Genomic DNA, 16,760 nt, shown 5'->3' with positions numbered 1-16,760 from the left:
CCATCTCCCCCACCAGGTTAGGTCCTGGCCTAGTCCTCAGGGTGAGGGTTGCTTTCCCCAGCTTGTGCCCTGCTGCCTCTGGCTCCCAGGAGAGCTTCCTCTCTCCCGGGGTGCTCCCCGCGGCGGGGCGGCTGGTCTGGAGGAAGCAGCTGGCTGCGACTGACGTCTCCACCTGCTGGCCGTCCTGACCCTTGCTACGTGCAGCTCTCCATCCCTGCCACTGCTGCCGGTACTGTTGCTGCTGCTGCTGCTGCAATATTTTATAACAAACGACCCAGAGACCCTGGTAGGAAGCACGCCCAGGCAGATGACATGGCGTTCTGCTTCTGTCAGGATCTACTCACGTTGGATGCTCCGAATAAGTTTCCCCGGAGAAAAAGTCCGAGGGGGTAGAGAGATAACCCTCTGACTGTGTTGCTGTCCCCCAGGGATCCTTCCATGAAGACTGAGGCAGGCGGAGCTGCTAAGAGCCTGCTGACATGACATCGGCCACAGAGTTTGAAAATGTGGGCAACCAGCCACCTTACAGCAGGATCAATGCCCGCTGGGACGCCCCAGACGACGAGCTGGATAATGACAACAGCTCAGCCAGGCTCTTTGAGAGGTCCCGGATAAAGGCCTTGGCAGGTACTGTTTGGGGCCACAAGGGTTGGAGGGCATTCTCACAGTCACAAGGTTCACAGCCCTCCCCACCTAGTGTGAATCCTCTGTGTGTGTTGGGTGAGCCCTGGCATGGCAGTGATGGAGACGTGTTTGTCGGGCTCAGGGAGGTGGGGGTCCCCTTGGGAGGGAGCTCAGGCAGCCTCTGCCCCCAAGGCCTCTGAGAAGCAAGGAGGTGCTGGAGCTGGGACCAGGTGGGGCCTGCCCTCTGCCTCTGTCCTGAGTGACCTGCGGCCAAGTGAGAAGTACGAGAGTCTGGGCAAAGCAGTGTCTGAGGGCTGGACAGCCGGGCGCAGGTTCACAGGGCCTCCTGGTTAACCCCGATTTCCTGCCTGGGCCTAGAGAGAGGAATTACCATAGTCCTCTCTGTAGTCCCAAAAGGAGTGATTGGATAGGAAATCGAGAACAGATAACATCCTCCCCACTGCCTCAGGAAGGATTTTCTTGATGAAACCTTTCATCCTTAAACTGGAATTAGATTTTTGCTTAGCAGGTTCATAATAGATCTCTCTGTGTGTGTGTGTGTGTGTGTGTGTGTGAGAGAGAGAGAGAGAGAGAGAGAAGGTGGGGGTGGAGAATATCTTAAATCTCTAGTAGAAATGACTTCTCCTCCCCCTGTTGGCTGATATCTGATTCTTGGGATTTTTTTTTTTTCCCCAACTCCTGTGACTATTGCCTCCCTGAACTTGACCCAGGGTAAGTATATTCCGACCTTAAGTCTTCGGCCAATAAGAAAGTTTGAGTTACATGGGGTTGTGTGTGTATGTGTGGAAGGTGGGTTCCTTCACCTGATCCACCAGTCAGCAGCCCACACTGGACCTGTTTCCCTATCATTGACTGTTGCCGTCTTCCACCTCCTAAGAAGAGTACAACCTTCCCCATAAACACTTTCTGGAGTGATTCTCCCGCTGCCCCCATACCTTATGGCCCAAATTGAAGGTTGTAGTAATCCTCTTCCCCACTCCCTCCCTGTACTCAGCTCCCAGATACCACAGTCCCTGGCAGACCTTGAAGCCTGAGCAGGGCCCTGGACCCCTCTGGGACCATAATGACCTCACATCTTGGGAGTGTCTGGGCTTCTCATGCCGGGAAAGGAATGCTGCGGTGTCTCATCTCCCTTGTCATGACAAGGAATCCACTTGGGTCTCAGTCATTACCCCTGGTGTCCTTGCTCTTTACAGGAAACTCTCTTTCTTCTTTCTTTATCTCCTTCTCACCCTCCTTGACCCCACAAAATTCTCCCTTGGTTTCCCTTGGGGACGGACCATAACGGTGACCCATTGCTTTTGTGTATGTTAATTTAAGCCAACCAAACTTGGAACCATTGGCTTTGTCGTCAGTCTGGTTTTACCTTCTTATATCTCTGTGCTGGCTGGATCTAGCTGCAATGACCCTGGCGATCCAGGTGGAGGGAGAGGGGTACCATATTCCGTAAGATTTGCCAAAGCAAGGTAAGAGTGGGGACTGGCCTTTGTGCAGAGATTCTTTTATCTTTTTTAAGAAACCAAGGTAAATTCTATTTTAACAGTTGCTTGTTGTACTCCTACTATGTTTAAAGCTAAACCCCTGGCCAACCATGAAAGGGGAGAGGGGAACCACAGAGATGAATTCAGTATAGTGTCTGTCTCTCAGGAGTTCAAAATCTATTAGGGAAAAATGAACTATGTTCACAATTAATTAGCATGAGTGGAATTAGAGAAGAACTGTAGGATGGGCACATAAATTAAACAGCAATGAGAGAGCCAAGGAAGAGATGCAAGGAAAATCGGGGAACAGTTCATGGAGGAGGCAGCCTTTGAGCTGGGAATTGAAGGGTGTGTGTGATTCTGGCAGGCAGAAGGGCCCCGGGTTTCTCCAGTTGGCCTGTGTGTGTTGTCACCACGTCTGATGAGCTGCTTGGGAAGTTGGTGGAGACAGGTTAATGAGCCGAGCACAAAGCCGGGCGTGGTAGCTCATGCCTATAATCCCAGCACTTTGGGATCCTGAGGTAAGTGTATGGCTTGAGACCAGGAGTTCAAGACCAGCCTGGCCAAGAGGGCGAAACTCCATCTCTACTAAAATCCAAAAAAAAAAGAAATAGCTGGGCGTGGTGGTGCATGCCTGTAATCCCAGCTACTCAAGAAGCTGAGGCACGAGAATTGCTTGAACCCGGGAGGCGGAGGTTGCAGTGACCCAAGATCACGCCACTGCACTCCAACCTGGGTGACAGAGCAAGACTCTGTGTTTAGTGGTCAGTCCTAGGTTGATCAGGAAAGAGCCTTTGCTGACCTTGGCTGTGCCTAGTTGAGCCTCCTCCTCACCAGGAGCATGCATCTGACTTACCAGAGAATCTGAATGCCCCCCAGGGAGAGGAAAAGCCACAGAGCATAGAATTGTATGCCTGGGCCTTAACTATTCAGAACATCTGGCCAACAAGTAAATATGCAAGTTTGAGGTCCTTTCAAGATTTTCAAGAACAAACAACCTAAGTGGTTTACTGGCTTCCTTCTCCTGAGAGTCCACTCTAAGTGACCTGGGCTTGAGCTAAAGCTTTGGAAAGGTCTAAATAGGGTGGCCAGATGTGCCCATTCTGCTGGGTAGGCAGAATGGAGAAAGGGAGCATGTCAGCCTTCCTAGTCTCAACGTCTTGACTTTTTTTCCCTTCAGTACTGTTGTTGGGGCCACCTTAGCAGCCTAGGCAGGGGTGTCTTTCAAAAGAAACATTAGGGAGAAGGAGCTCTCAGCCACTCTCCCACTCACAGGAATATTAAGGCAAGGAGGGGATTCAGCCCTGAGTTGCTTATAAGATAGCAGTGATCTACTTCATAGGTATATGTGGCAAGGTTGGGGAGACTGGCCTGGCGTCTTCTTCTGAAACTGAAGGTCCTGGGGTGAGGAGGAACATGTCACAAGATCCAGATTCAAGTCCTGATTCTGCCTCTAATGCCACCGCAGTGGAGGATCACTGACTCCTTTTCCATTTTTATAAAATGGGGATGATAGTATTTTCTCAAGGTTGTTGTGAAGAGCAAATAAGATAAAGTTTACGGAAGTTTTTATTTATAATAAAATGCTAGGTGAATGTTAGATAATGTTAGTACTAAGAAAATTTCCCATCGGTGTTTTCTGTCCTTTCTCTTTTCCCAACTTCAGACATTCAAGATCATGAGCTTGGTCTTTTTCCTTGCCTGTTGTACCTTGGCCTGTTCCAGGACCTGTTTCTTCCTTCTTAACCCCCACCCTCCTTTGCCTTGGAAGTTCTGAGTTGGAAGGAAAAGCCAGGGACCAAGGAAACCAGGCTAATGTTTGTGCTTGGAGCTCTGGGCTCTTTCCCCTTCCCCCAGACCTGATGCCCATGAGATGAAGCCCCATGCCATGCAGGTCTCTCTCTCTCCATAAGACTATCCAGTCCACGACCCTGGCTGTGTCTCCGCCATCTGGCTGGGTGACATGGGAGGCCCAAGAAACGTAAGGATGATGGGTCTTGTCAAATGCTTTTCCAGATGAGACAGTTTCTCTAGGTCCATCTCCATTTAATGACCTATGGTTGGAAGACCTGAATTGGGGTGACTGGATGTGATCTTTTCTGCTTCTTAAGTAAAATTCCTCTCAACTCCAAAGGAAATACTCCCTGTTCTGCCTTTCATACCACTCCCAGGTCTTCCTTCCTGGACCTAAAGAAACAAGCCATCTGGCTCATCTGTCCTAGTACATAAAAACCTGACCTCTCTCCAGAATGAATGACTTTCTTTATGAAACTGGGAGTCAGCCTAACTAAAGTGAAAAGGAAGAAGGGTAGGAAAATGTTGCAGAAGGCTCCTGTAAGGGGGTGGATTTGACCTTGGCAATGCCAAGGGGAGGGCTGGGATCCCAGCAGGAATATTTGCCCTGTAGATCCCTGAGCAGATTTTAGCGTTTTAACATCAGTCTCTAAGCTGGCCGCCTGTCATGAGGTTAAGTAGCAGGTAGCCCTGAGGCTTCTTCCTGGACTGGAGACCATGCTTCTCTCTTTTGATGACTGCCTCTGGCACCTTCCTACTTTCTGGACCTGTTTTCAGGGATTACAGGAAGAGCAGCAGCTGAAAAGCCCAAGTTCCTATCCTTCCAAAAGGTTCCAGCCTTCATGTTTCAATAGAAAGGCTCCCCCCATCTCCTAGAGTCCCCCTAATTGTCACACAGCCCCATTTCTTCTCCTTCCCCTTTTCATACTGGGAGCTGCCAGATGAGCATTTGTGGCCGTCTGGATGAAGAATGAAACACTGCAGGCTGCAGGGAACTTACCAGTCAGAATGCCCATCCTCTGTCTCCCTCTCCTCACCCCAGAGGAGGCATCTGCCTGCCTGCACACTCCTCCCCTTCCCTGCACCTGGGTACAGACTCCAGTGACTCCAGTGAGGATGCTGCCTCAGGGTAGATGTGGCCCAGAAGGGAGAGCAGGGAGTGGAGGAACCCCACAGAAAGATGCCCCAAAAAGAGAAGCCCTGTGCATGAGCCTCATTCCCCTTTCTCTCTTCCCTCCCCTCCCTCCTTCCACTCCCCTGCCTTACCCATGCACACAGCTTGGCATCCGGCATCCCATGTGCCGCCCGCTGCGTGTTTTACAGCTCCTCGGCTCACAGAGGCATCTCGCAGTGCAGGGAGCAGTCCGGAGCCTCCTGCGAAGGGCCTGTGGGAAAGAGATGGCCTTCACGTTCTTTCTCAGTCTTCCTCCTGTTCTTTGGCCTGTGGAGCAATCACCAAAGGATAGACTAAATAGGGCCTCTCATTTTAAAACCAGGTGCACAGAATTGTGTTGCCCACTCAGGTTTTGCCTTTGCATTCAAATCCAAGTGGTGCTGCAAGCTAGAGATGACCTTCCTTCCTGCATTGTCTCTTTGTAGCCTTCTTTCTGGAAGTGAGATGAGGCTGAGGGGTGAGGTTGGTTGAGGACAATTCCAAGACTGCTGTGGGACAGCAGGTGCACTACAGCCTGTGTCCCTGCACTCTGAAGCACATAGTTGCTGCCACTCTGAGCCTTAACTGTCTTCAGGACCCACTGCATGCAGGTCCCGAGGTTAAGTTCTGTGGCTGGCAGACATTCCTCGGATGCTGCTGCTCCCCGCCCACCTCCTTGGCTGCCAGGAACTCCCCAGGGAGGGTGGTACAGACCTCTTCCTGACTCTGCTGCTGAAGGGCCCTGAGAGTGTCCTCAGGACATGTTTGGCCTCTCCCTCAGGCCCCTTTTCCCTTATGTACAGGAGGATGCTGATCTCAGGTGCCCCAGTTGCCTAGGAGGGCTTTGTGTCCAGAGGGCAAGTGATTTCTCAGGGAGCAGGGCCTCACCCCCGTGGACGGGCATCAGTAGCTTCTTTGTTAAGTTGACAGATTCAGGTGCAGCTGCTGGAGAACAAGGCACCAGTTGTCCATGTTCCCCCCATGTCTGTCTCCAGGTACCCGTAACCAACAAAGATGGTGGTGTCATTAATGGGAGGTTTGTAATGTTTTTGCTTCTCAGATTTCAAAACATAAAATGGGGTTTTATTTAGAGACTACATATTGGGAAAATATACTATCCACAGAAATATCTATCATTGTCAGCAACCATTTTAATGTCAGAGGGAAAAAAATTGGATCAGCAGCTTTCTCTGGGAGGTCAGCCATGGTGAGATTGTCCCCCTGCCCCCAGGCAGGACACAGTGTAGATAAACCTGCCAGCTACCTGTGCAGATAAACCTGCAAGAGATGTCAGCATGCCCCTGCACTGTGTGGCCCGGGGCAGGTTTCCCCTGCCCAGGACATAATGCCTTCCATTGTCCCCTTACCACTCTTGATAAAAGCTATTCTTCCTCTCTCAGAACTCTTTACAGAACCAAGGCTGCTTCCCTTCTATGGGTGACTGCTATCTATCATTGTGAAGATGCTTTATCAAATATTAATACACTGAGGTTAATAATAAGACTCTGTTCTCTCCCCGGGCAGTGCAGTCTGAGTGAACCACGTTAATAGCCTCCTCCATCTTTGGGACATTTCTGTGGGATTTGTTCCCAAGGGCAAGCTCTGACCCCAGGCCTTGTCTGTGTTTATGGCTCTCAGGAAAAGCCAGCACCCATTCTCCCTGCCCCATGTGTCCCCCACATGCTTCTTGGCTGAGGAGGTGCCAAGGGTGGTGTTTTCAGAGCATCTGTAGCAATTTTCCATTTTCCCTTTATAACATGTCACTGAGACAGAGTGACAAGGAGGCTAGTAGCAGCCGAGTCTCTGGGAGCATTTTGCCTCCAAACCCTTTGGCCTTCAGACTTGGGAAAGTAGATCAACCAGAGAATCTTACAGTCTAGTGAGACAGAGGTAGATCAAATAATCCCACACGTGTCTATGTGCATAGACACACGTGCATAGCAAATTATGACAAATTTGCTATGAAGATTTGCTGGGAACTATAAAGTTTGTAACATAAACTGCAGCTCTCAGTTCAGGGGATAAGCATGTTTGAGTCAGAGTGCAGGGTTGGTGGTGGTGATAGGAGGGCAGGCAGGGGCCACTTCACAGGCCTGATAGGCCACCGGTGTTGCCAAGGTCCTGGGCAGGAAGCAGAGAAAAACTCAAAAGGGGTGGCTGTGGAGTTTAAGGAGGGAATATATATTGATTTAGGGTAAATTGATATCTTGATGATGTTGAGTTTTTTATTCAAGACCTCAGCGTGCCTTTCCATACAGTGGCAGGGTTGAAGGGTCCGAGAGAGGGAGCATTAGCTGTGGGCTGCAGGACAGGAGCTGAGCCTTCAGTAGAGGGTGGAGGGCAGGAGCTGCTGCCAGCCCATCAAAGTACTTTCAGCAGGGAAATGACACGGTTAGATTTGGGTTTTTAGGGCTCGCTCTGACTACTAAGGATCACCCTCTGTAGGGAGAACAGGTTGTGGAGAGGCTGTGCAGAAGTCCGGTAAAGAGAAGACGCTGTTTGAGCTAGCTTGTTACCCATAGGTGAGGAGAAAATGGTCTACCTGGCAATATCACTCTTCCGTCATCCTGCCGCTATCGTTAGGGGACCTCGATCAAGTCACTCTTCTGCTCCTTGGGGCCTCTTTATCCTCACCTGTAACACCAGGGGCTTGAACTAGATGACGCCCAAAGCCCTTCTAGCTCTGACAGTTTGAGCAGAAGCCACCTATGGAGTGGTGTTGACAATGTGCCTCTTTACCCTGAACCATGTAGCTTTGGTTCCTGGCTTGGGGAAGGGAACTGATCCTTTTCAGCAAATCGGCGCTTCTCCAGAAACTCTCTCTGTTCACTAAAGGCATCACCTAGGCTGAGGCCAAGTCCTGGACCATCTTGACTTTTGCAGCCCCATGTTCTCAGTGAGTGTAATCTCTCTATGCAGCCACCACCTGCATGCAAGACAACAATGCCTGATATTGGTGCAGCTGCTTCGTGTTCTAGGTGCTTTTGTTCAGATCATCTCCATGACCCTTCACCCACTCTGTGAAGTGGGCAGCTTATAGCTGTTGTCATCTCCCTAGAGATGAGGAAGGTCAGAATACCAGGAAGTGGCCAAGACAGGACTAGGATCCCGGGGTTTTAAAGTCATCACAGCGCTGCTTGGGCTGCAGCCCTCGGGCCCCTATTGAATGTTCTTCATTCTTACCTCACATGCTCCTTCGCGCTTCATGGGAGATGCCCGCTTCATGGGAGATGCCCCTTCCCATTTTTCTTCCAACACCAGCCTTTGAGCCTCTTGGCTCCTGCCTCTCCCCTGTCCCCTTAGGATCTTTGTCTTCCAGCACACTTTTGGGAGGTGCTGCTTTACTTAAGAACCTCCGGGCTGTTCTGTACCTGGACTATAATGTTCACATTCCCTAGACTGTCCTGCAGCTGCCTTGCTCTGGATAAATTCACTGCTTCTCACCCCCACTCCCAAAACCTGCTTACATGCACACACACACATACACACCTTGCCAGTTGCCACCTGAGGGGCTGTGAATATGACCTCCTTTTTCTTCCCTGCCATTCTAAAACCATTATCATCTTCAAACTCCAGATGAAAACTAGCCTTCTTCAAAAATAAAAAAAAACTTTTTGATTTAAACTGGTCTACAATAACTTGTTTTCTTTTGCAATAATATATAAAGATCCTATTTTATCTAAAAATGCAATAGGAGCTGGACGCAGTGGCTCATGCCTGTAATCCCAGCACTTTGGGAGGCTGAGCGGGGAGGCCAGGAGCTCGAGACCAGCCTGGCCAACATGGCGAAACCCTTTCTCTACTAAAAATACAAAAAATTAGCTGGGTGTGGTGGCACATGCCTGTGATCCCAGCTACTCGGGAGGCTGAGGCACAAGATTTGCTTGAACCCAGGAGGCAAAGGTTACAGTGAGCTGAGATCACACAACTGCACTCCAGCCTGAGCGACAGTGGGAGACTCTGCCTCAAAAATAAATAAATAAATAAGCAATAAGATAATTACTTTGATATCTTTTTAACATTTTATTAACAAGAATATATATTTAATATAGAAAATATGAGAAAAACAGATAAAGGAAACCAGAGATTTTGTTAAAGTCTCATATAGACACTTTAATGTCTATAGATGTATGACTGTATAGGTCTGTGTATATATTAAGTGTTATCTATAATATAATCTTAGACCCTCTTTCATGTAACAATATGCTATGAATATCTTTTCATGTCAGCAAACATGCAAATTATTTTAATGGCTATATTGTCTCCCTTTGAATTACTATACCCCAAGCTCAGCCTCCCAAGTAGCTGGGACTATAGGCATGCACTACCATGCCCGGCTTCTGACCACTTTAAAATCAGTCTTATGGGTTTTATTCTTGCATTTGCATTTTAAGGTATGTAGTAAGCATCCTAAAGTTCCATCTTAGAATCACCCCTAGCTATATCGCAAATCCTTAAGGGTTGGGGAAATCGCTGTTCACAAAACCAGTGTGATGAAAGTTGGCTGAAAGGAAAATTCCTTCCCTAACTGGTTAAACAGAAACCGTAGAATTTGTGCCATCATCATTTATGATGTGTCCCTGAGAGTCTGCCCCATGCTAGGCTTTATTATGGATTGGCATCTGTGTCATTGAGGTTCATCACAAGTTCATGGCAGTTAAAGTATGGCTCACTTGGCCAGGCATGGTGGCTCACGCCTATAATCCAGGCACTTTTGGAGGCCAAGGCAGGTGGAGCACCTGAGGTCAAGAGTTTGAGGCCAGCCTGGCCAACATGGTGAAACCTCATCTCTACTAAAAATACAAAAAAATTTAGCTGGGCGTGGTGGCGCTTGCCTGTAGTCCCAGCTACCTGGGGAGGCTGAGGCAGGAGAATTGCTTGAACCCAGGAGGCAGAGGTTGCAGTGAGCCAAGATCGCACCACTGCACTCCGGTCTGGGCGACAGAGGGAGACTCCATCTCGAAAAACAAACAAACAGAAAACAACAACAACAAAACAAAGCATGGCTCACTCTGGTTCCCCAAGCTCTTGGCTTCCTGGCATGAGAAGGAGAGAAATCCCAAATTGTGAACCTGCAAAGAGCTCACCATGAAATGATTGTTTTCAGAAGGCTCATGGTCCATGGGCCTCCCATGGTGCCTTGGCTCCTACTTATCTTTCTGACCTCCTAGTTTTACCTGTAGCTTAAGGCTGTGAGCGACTGAAAATGCAGACTTCCTCAAGAAAGAAACTTTTTTGACTTTTCATCTATTAGTCCCCAGGGTTTATGAACTTCATATCCTATTTTTCTTTATGACATCTGTTGTTTCATATTATAAAACCAATATATGCCCACTGCAAATATTTTAGAAAACAGAGAAAAGCAAAAAAGAAGAAAAAATTACCCACAATCTTACCATCCAGCTATAACAACACCCAGCATTAGGATATAGGTTTGAAAATCTGAATTTTCCCCCAAAATGCATTACAATATCCTTTCCTGTCATTGAAATTTATTCAACAACCTTAATAGTATCCTCATTAATATACCAAAATATTAAATCATCCCTTGTTTTTGATTATTTAAGTTGCTATTTTCTATTGTTGAAAGCAAATTTTTTTAACAGAAAAGGAGGGAGAGGCACAAAGCCCTCAAGGAATGTAATAGAAAGCCATGGAAGCAATAAATAGGTGGACCCAGAAATGGGAGATGAAGCTTCCAAAGATAAGATACTTCAACTTTACAGTTTGGTTTAAGGACAGCTCCTATTTTTAAAACAGCCCCACTAGGGACTTTTGATGGTGAACTTCCCAGATGCCCGTGACGTCAGGAGGTGAAGCAGGTGCTGCAGTGGGTGGGGCTGGCAGCTGGTGTGCTGCTCACCGAGAAGGGAGGAGGGAGGAGCCACGGAGAAGCCTGGAGAAGGAGTAACACAAGAAAGAGACTGCGCCGTGACCCTGTGGGGAGGCATTTATGCTTTAAACCCCCATAGGGAGTATTCAGAGGGCAGAACCTCAGAAGTAGCTGTGTGGGTGTCGAGGAGGTAGAGCGTTCCTTGCTCCTTACAGACCTCACTCCCCTTTTGCATCCAGGGGCCAATGCTCCTGCCATCAGCCTTGCTCTCTCCTTTTCACTTCTCTTATGGGCTCAGGTGGTTAAAGATGCTTATGATTTTGGCCTGGTGAAAAATCCCTAAGGCAGGAAAGCACATGAAAGGAATTAGGCTATCTTGGAAAAAGGAAGAAAATAAAAACATGTTAATATTTTCTTTAGGCTGGGCGCGTTGGCTCACGCCTGTAATCCCAGCACCTTGGGAGGCCGAGGCAGGCAGATCACCTGAGGTGAGGAGTTTGAGACCAGCCTGGCCAACATTGTGAAACACTGTCTCTACTAAAAATACAAAAATTAGCTGGGTGTGTTGGCACATGCCTGTAATCCCAGCTACTCAAATTTTTTTTAATTAAAAAATAATCAAAAGATTTTAAAATTTAAAAATGCAATGATTTTTTTTTACCAGTGTATGAATAGATCTGTAGGATAAATTCCTAGAAGTGGAATTACTGGGTCCAAAAGCATGTGCATTTGTAATTCTGATGGGTCTTGCCAAATTGCCTTTCGTAGAGGTTGAGCCAGTTATACCCTTTCCAGCAATACATGAATGTTTTTTCCCCACATCCTTGCCAACACAAGCATTTTATCAGACTTCTTGATCTTTGCCCAACTGATAAGTGAAACATAGTATGTTTGTGTACTTTCATTTTACTTTTTGGCTTTTATTATGGAAAATTACAAACTGGTAAAAAAGTAGAGACAAAAGTATAATAGGGTCATTACATTATCACCTAAATTTAACAATTGTTGATATTTTGTTATATTTGCTGATCTATGTTGGGGGTTGAAGCATTGTTAAAGTAAATTAAAGATCATCATACTTTCCCCCTAATTACTCTAGTATGTATCTCTGAAAAACATGAACATTTTCCACCTAACCATGATACCATTATTACACCTAATAAAATTAACAGTAATTCCCTAAAAATATAACCTAATATACACTTGATATTCAGATTTTCCAAGTTGTCTTAAAAATGTCTTTATGATTAGTTTGTTCAAACAAATTAAGGACCATTATTAGATTGTGTGTTTGCATGTGCGTGTGTGCATGCACGTGGGCTTTTAATTTGGACTTCTATTATGAGTGACTTGTACAATTTTTTATACATTTAAGAGATGCTTATAATTTTTTCTGTTAACTCTTTGTTCACATTACTGGTCTTTTTCCTTGTTAATATGTAGGTGCTTTTTGTATATTAAGTAAATTAGCCCTTTATAATGTATGTTAGATATATTTTTGCTCATTTGTTTGACTTTGCTTATGGTGTTTTATCCAATATAAACTTTTTTTTTTCGAGGTGGGTCTCAATCTTTCACCCAGGCTGGAGTGCGGTGGCACAATCATAGCTCACGACAGCCTCAAACTGAGCTCAAGTGATCCTCCTACCTCAGCCTCCTGAATAGCTAGGATTACAGGTGCATGCCACCACACCCCTCTAATTTTTAAATTTTTTTGTAGAGATGCAACCTTGTTATATTGCCAGGCTAGTCTCAAACTCCTGGCCTCAAGTGATCCTCCTACCTTGGCCTCCCAAAGCTCTGGGATTATAGGTGTGAGCCACAATGCCTGGTCCAACACAAACATTATTTTAATGTAGTTGAACTTTCAATTTTTTATTTTATAGCTTTTGGATTTTGTGTCATATTTTGAAAGCCCTTCCCTACACTAACATTGTAGAAAGCATTTACCATGATTGATTTGTTGTTGTTGTTGTTATTGTTGTTTTGAGACAGGGTCTCATTCTGTCACCCAGGCTGGAGCACAGTGGTGGGATCTCGGCTCACTGCAACCTTCAACTCCCAAGTTCAAGCGATTCTCATGCCTCAGTCTCTTGAGTAGCTGGGATTACAGGCGCGCAACACCATGCCCGGCTAATTTTTATATTTTTAGTAGAGACGGCGTTTCATCATATTGGCCAGGCTGATCTCGAACTCCTGACCCAAAGTGATCCACCTGCTTTAGCATCCCAAAAGTGCTGGAATTACAGGCGTGAGCCACCACGCCCAGCCTGATTTTGGTATTTTTATAGTTTCATTTTTTACATTTCAATTTTTGACCCACATGAAATTTATCCTGGAGTATGAGGTATGAATGTAACTAACTTTTCCTGCTTGGCCATCCAGTTTTGCCAATACTCCTTATTGAGTAATTCATCTTTCCCCTTCCTATTAGAAATGCCACCTGTATCAGCCATTAAATGCCTGTATGTACTGGGACTATTTCTGTCCCATTGGTATATCCATCTTTTCATATGCTAGTACAACACAGTTTTACTATAAGTTTACACTATTCTTTGATAGACAAAACATCTGGAAAGGTTGGTAGCCCTTTATTACTCTTATTTTTTGGAATATTCCTATTTGTGGTTGCATGTTTTTTCAATGAAGTTTTTAATCATTTGTCTTTTTTCCCACAAATTCAAATTGTATAATTTAAATATATTTAAAACACTATTAAATATATATTGATTTAGGGTAAATTGATATCTTGATGATGTTGAGTTTTTTATTCAAGACCTCAGCATGCCTTTCCATTTGTCCAGATTTTCTTGTGCCTGCCTCAGGAGCCTTTTAAGGTTTTCTTCGTATGCATTTTGCATACTTCCTTTGAGATGTAATCTGAAACATTTTGTGTCTTTATTAACATTGGGGGCCTTACAAATTCATATTTCAGGAAATGACCCTGCCACACCTTCAGTGCTTCCTTTTGCCTCTAGGATTAAATCTAAACTTCTTAGCCTCTCATTCAAAGCTTTCCACATCCTGTTTAAAACCTGCTTTCCCCTGTAATCCTAGCACTTTGGGAGGCCAAGGTGGGTGGATCACGAGGTCAGGAGTTCAAGACCAGCCTGGCCAATATGGCGAAACCCCATCTCTAATAAAAATATAAAAAATTAGCTGGGTATGGTGGTGCACGCCTGTAGTCCCAGCTACTTGGGAGGCTGAGGCAAGAGAATCGCTTGAACTCGGGAGGCGGAGGTTGCAGTGAGCCGAGATCACACCACTGCACTCCAGCCTAGGCAACAGAGCGAGACTCCATCTCAAAATAAACAAATAAATAAACCAAAAACCTGCTTTTCTCTAACCTGTAGCTATTCCCTAGCCCCTGAATAAGCTTTGGCCTTTTTTTTTTTTTTTTTTTTTGATACAAAGTTTCGCTGTTGTTGCCCAGGCTGGAGTACAATGGTGGGATCTCGGCTCACTGCAACCTCTGCCTCCTGAGTTCAAACAATTCTCCTGCCTCAGCCTCCTGAATAGCTGGGATTACAGGTTCTTGCCACCATGCCTGGCTAATTTTTTGTATTTTTAATAGAGATGAGGTTTCACCATGTTGGCCAAGCTGGTCTCAAACTTCTGAGCTCAGGTAATCCACCTGCCTCAGCTTCCCAAAGTGCTGGGATTACAGGCGTGAGCCACCATGCCCGGCCTAGCTTTGGCCTTTTATGCCTGTCTGCTTGGACTCATTCTGTCTCCCTGGCTCCCCTCCCCTTCACAATCCAAAGCGGCTTTCTTCACCAGGTGCCCCCTCAACCACTCCAATTGGAAATGACCTCTCTCTTCCTGGAACCCTCGAGCATTGACCATATGTGTCATGTACCTGATATGGAATTCAGTATTACCCTGTGATGGCTTTTGTGTTATTAAAGTGAACTGCCACTTATTTATTATGTGCTTGCAAAAGTTAATTGGTGGGTTTGAGTATTGTTTCCTTAACTGTATCTTAAGGCCTTGGGGAGAGTGAGCTGCCCAACGCCCCTGCAGCACCTAGGACAGGGCCCACTAGTAATAGCAGCAGTAGTAATGACGATAACAATGAGAGTTCACATGATGGCAAGCTTTCTCTGTGCCAGCCCGTTCCATGTACAAACTCACTTATTACTGGATATATTTGAGGGTTTTAGTGTCATGGGTGTATTTGACCTGAAACTAAACCTTTGAAGGGTTTCAGGTCACCCAGTCCCAATATTCAGACAATAATTCTGGGTCAGAGCTGATCAGGGAGGAAGATGAGTTTTCTAGGCAAAGACCTAACACATAGCAGGGAATGAGGATGGCCACAACCCGGGAAGGAAAGGGAAAGAAAGGAACAGAGAGGGCCATGCACGGTGGCTCATGCCTATAATCCCAGCACTTTGAGAGGTCAAGACAGGTGGATCATGAGGTCAAGAGATCAAGACCATCCTGACCAACATGGTGAAACCCCGTCTGTACTAAAAAATACAAAAAATATCCAGGCGTGGTGGCACACACCTGTAGTCCCAGCTACTCAGGAGGCTGAGGCAAGAGAATTGCTTGAACCCAGAAGGCGGAGGTTGCAGTGAGCCAAGATTGCGCCGCTGCACTCCAGCCTGGCAACAGAGCGAGACTCCGTTGAAAAGAAAAGAGGAACAGAGAGGAATGAGATGCCGGGGTTTGATGGCAGCAGAGGCTGTCAGCCAGTCCATGCTGGTGGACTCACCCCCTTCCTGCACTGGCAGGGTTAGGGCTCTGGAAATAAGGCCTGGCTCCTGGCAGGGCTGTGCTGAGGCCTCCTTCCCATGGTGGGTCCCAGTAGGATGGCCTGGGTCCCCTGGGGACAGCAGGCCCAGTGTACAGCCACCTCTCTTCCTGTCCACACTACCAGGGTTCCCAGCCTAGCTGGCTCCAGGCCACCGCCTCTCCTGCCCTTGGAAGGCTTGGGATGAGCATCTGGGCTGTGCGGGAGTGAATGTGCTGAGCATGCCAATGCCAGGCGGCTGGAGCCAGCCAGCTCATGGAAATGCCTCTCACCTTGGGGCCTTTTCTCCCCTTCCAATCATCATTAGCCTCTCGAAATCTTTCTGTGTCTCAACATTGCAAAGCGTTTTGGGGCTCTGGGGATTCTGGGTGATTTCACTCCAGCCTTCAAATAAAAGGCAGCTAGGAGGCCACCTGCCTGTGCTCAAAACCTGTGGCTCCCACGTTTGAGGGTCCAGGGGGCATCATTCATGTGGTAAAAACTGGGGAGATCTAAGGGTGCTTTCTGATATTTCTGCACCAATAAATGCACCAGCCCAGTGGCCTAGAATTAATCCATGTTCCCAGCTAGAATCACTCCCTTACCCTTTGCCAAGCACAGATAAATAGTTCTCAGCACCCACGTAATGAAATGTTTGCATTCTTAAAGACAGGAAAAGGAGGAAGAAATACTTTCACTTTGGGGGACACCTACCTCTAAAGGGGCTAAAACTTTCACCCCCCTTAGTCAGAGGCTCCACACCTGACCTGAAGGGTTAGCTACTTAAAGAATAGATCTGGTTTCTAGGGAAAAAACTGTGGGACTGTGGCTGGCTCTGTTGAATCTAAAAATGCCCCAAAATAAGTGCAATTGCTTTCCGTCCAGTATGGCATCAAACTCCCTTTAGTTACATTTCGCTGAAGCAGCATTTGAAATCAGGAAAGTGGTTTAATTTGCTGTTGACAAAAGGGTAAGGGGAGTTTTCTCGCTGAAACTTTGCACAGAGGCCCAGAATAAATGAATGCCGTTTAAATTTTACATGTATTTAGGATTCACAGTCAGTAGTAGTACTTTTCCTCTTCTTGGAAGTCTTATTTAGATGGCTGCTGTAGAATT

General features: G+C 46.6%; 1 protein-coding gene across 8 annotated transcripts in view; it reads left to right on the top strand.

Annotated features, from left to right (window-relative positions):
- Positions 1–16,760, top strand: part of SPTB (spectrin beta, erythrocytic) — a 133,625-nt gene that overhangs the window by 56,334 nt on the left and 60,531 nt on the right. For 7 of the 8 annotated variants that reach the window (NM_001355436.2, XM_017021612.3, XM_047431724.1 and 4 more), the window contains one exon: positions 429–627. In NM_001355436.2, the coding sequence (NP_001342365.1) occupies positions 480–627 (148 nt within the window). In that variant the 5' untranslated portion in view covers positions 429–479. Of the gene's footprint in view, positions 1–193; positions 628–16,760 lie in introns of those variants that run through there. The other variant, NM_001024858.4, reaches the window with a different exon arrangement.

Source organism: Homo sapiens, chromosome 14, assembly GCF_000001405.40.
Source record: "Homo sapiens chromosome 14, GRCh38.p14 Primary Assembly".
In the NCBI taxonomy this organism is placed as follows: Eukaryota; Metazoa; Chordata; class Mammalia; order Primates; family Hominidae; genus Homo; species Homo sapiens.
This window is presented reverse-complemented; position numbering and strand designations above follow the sequence as displayed.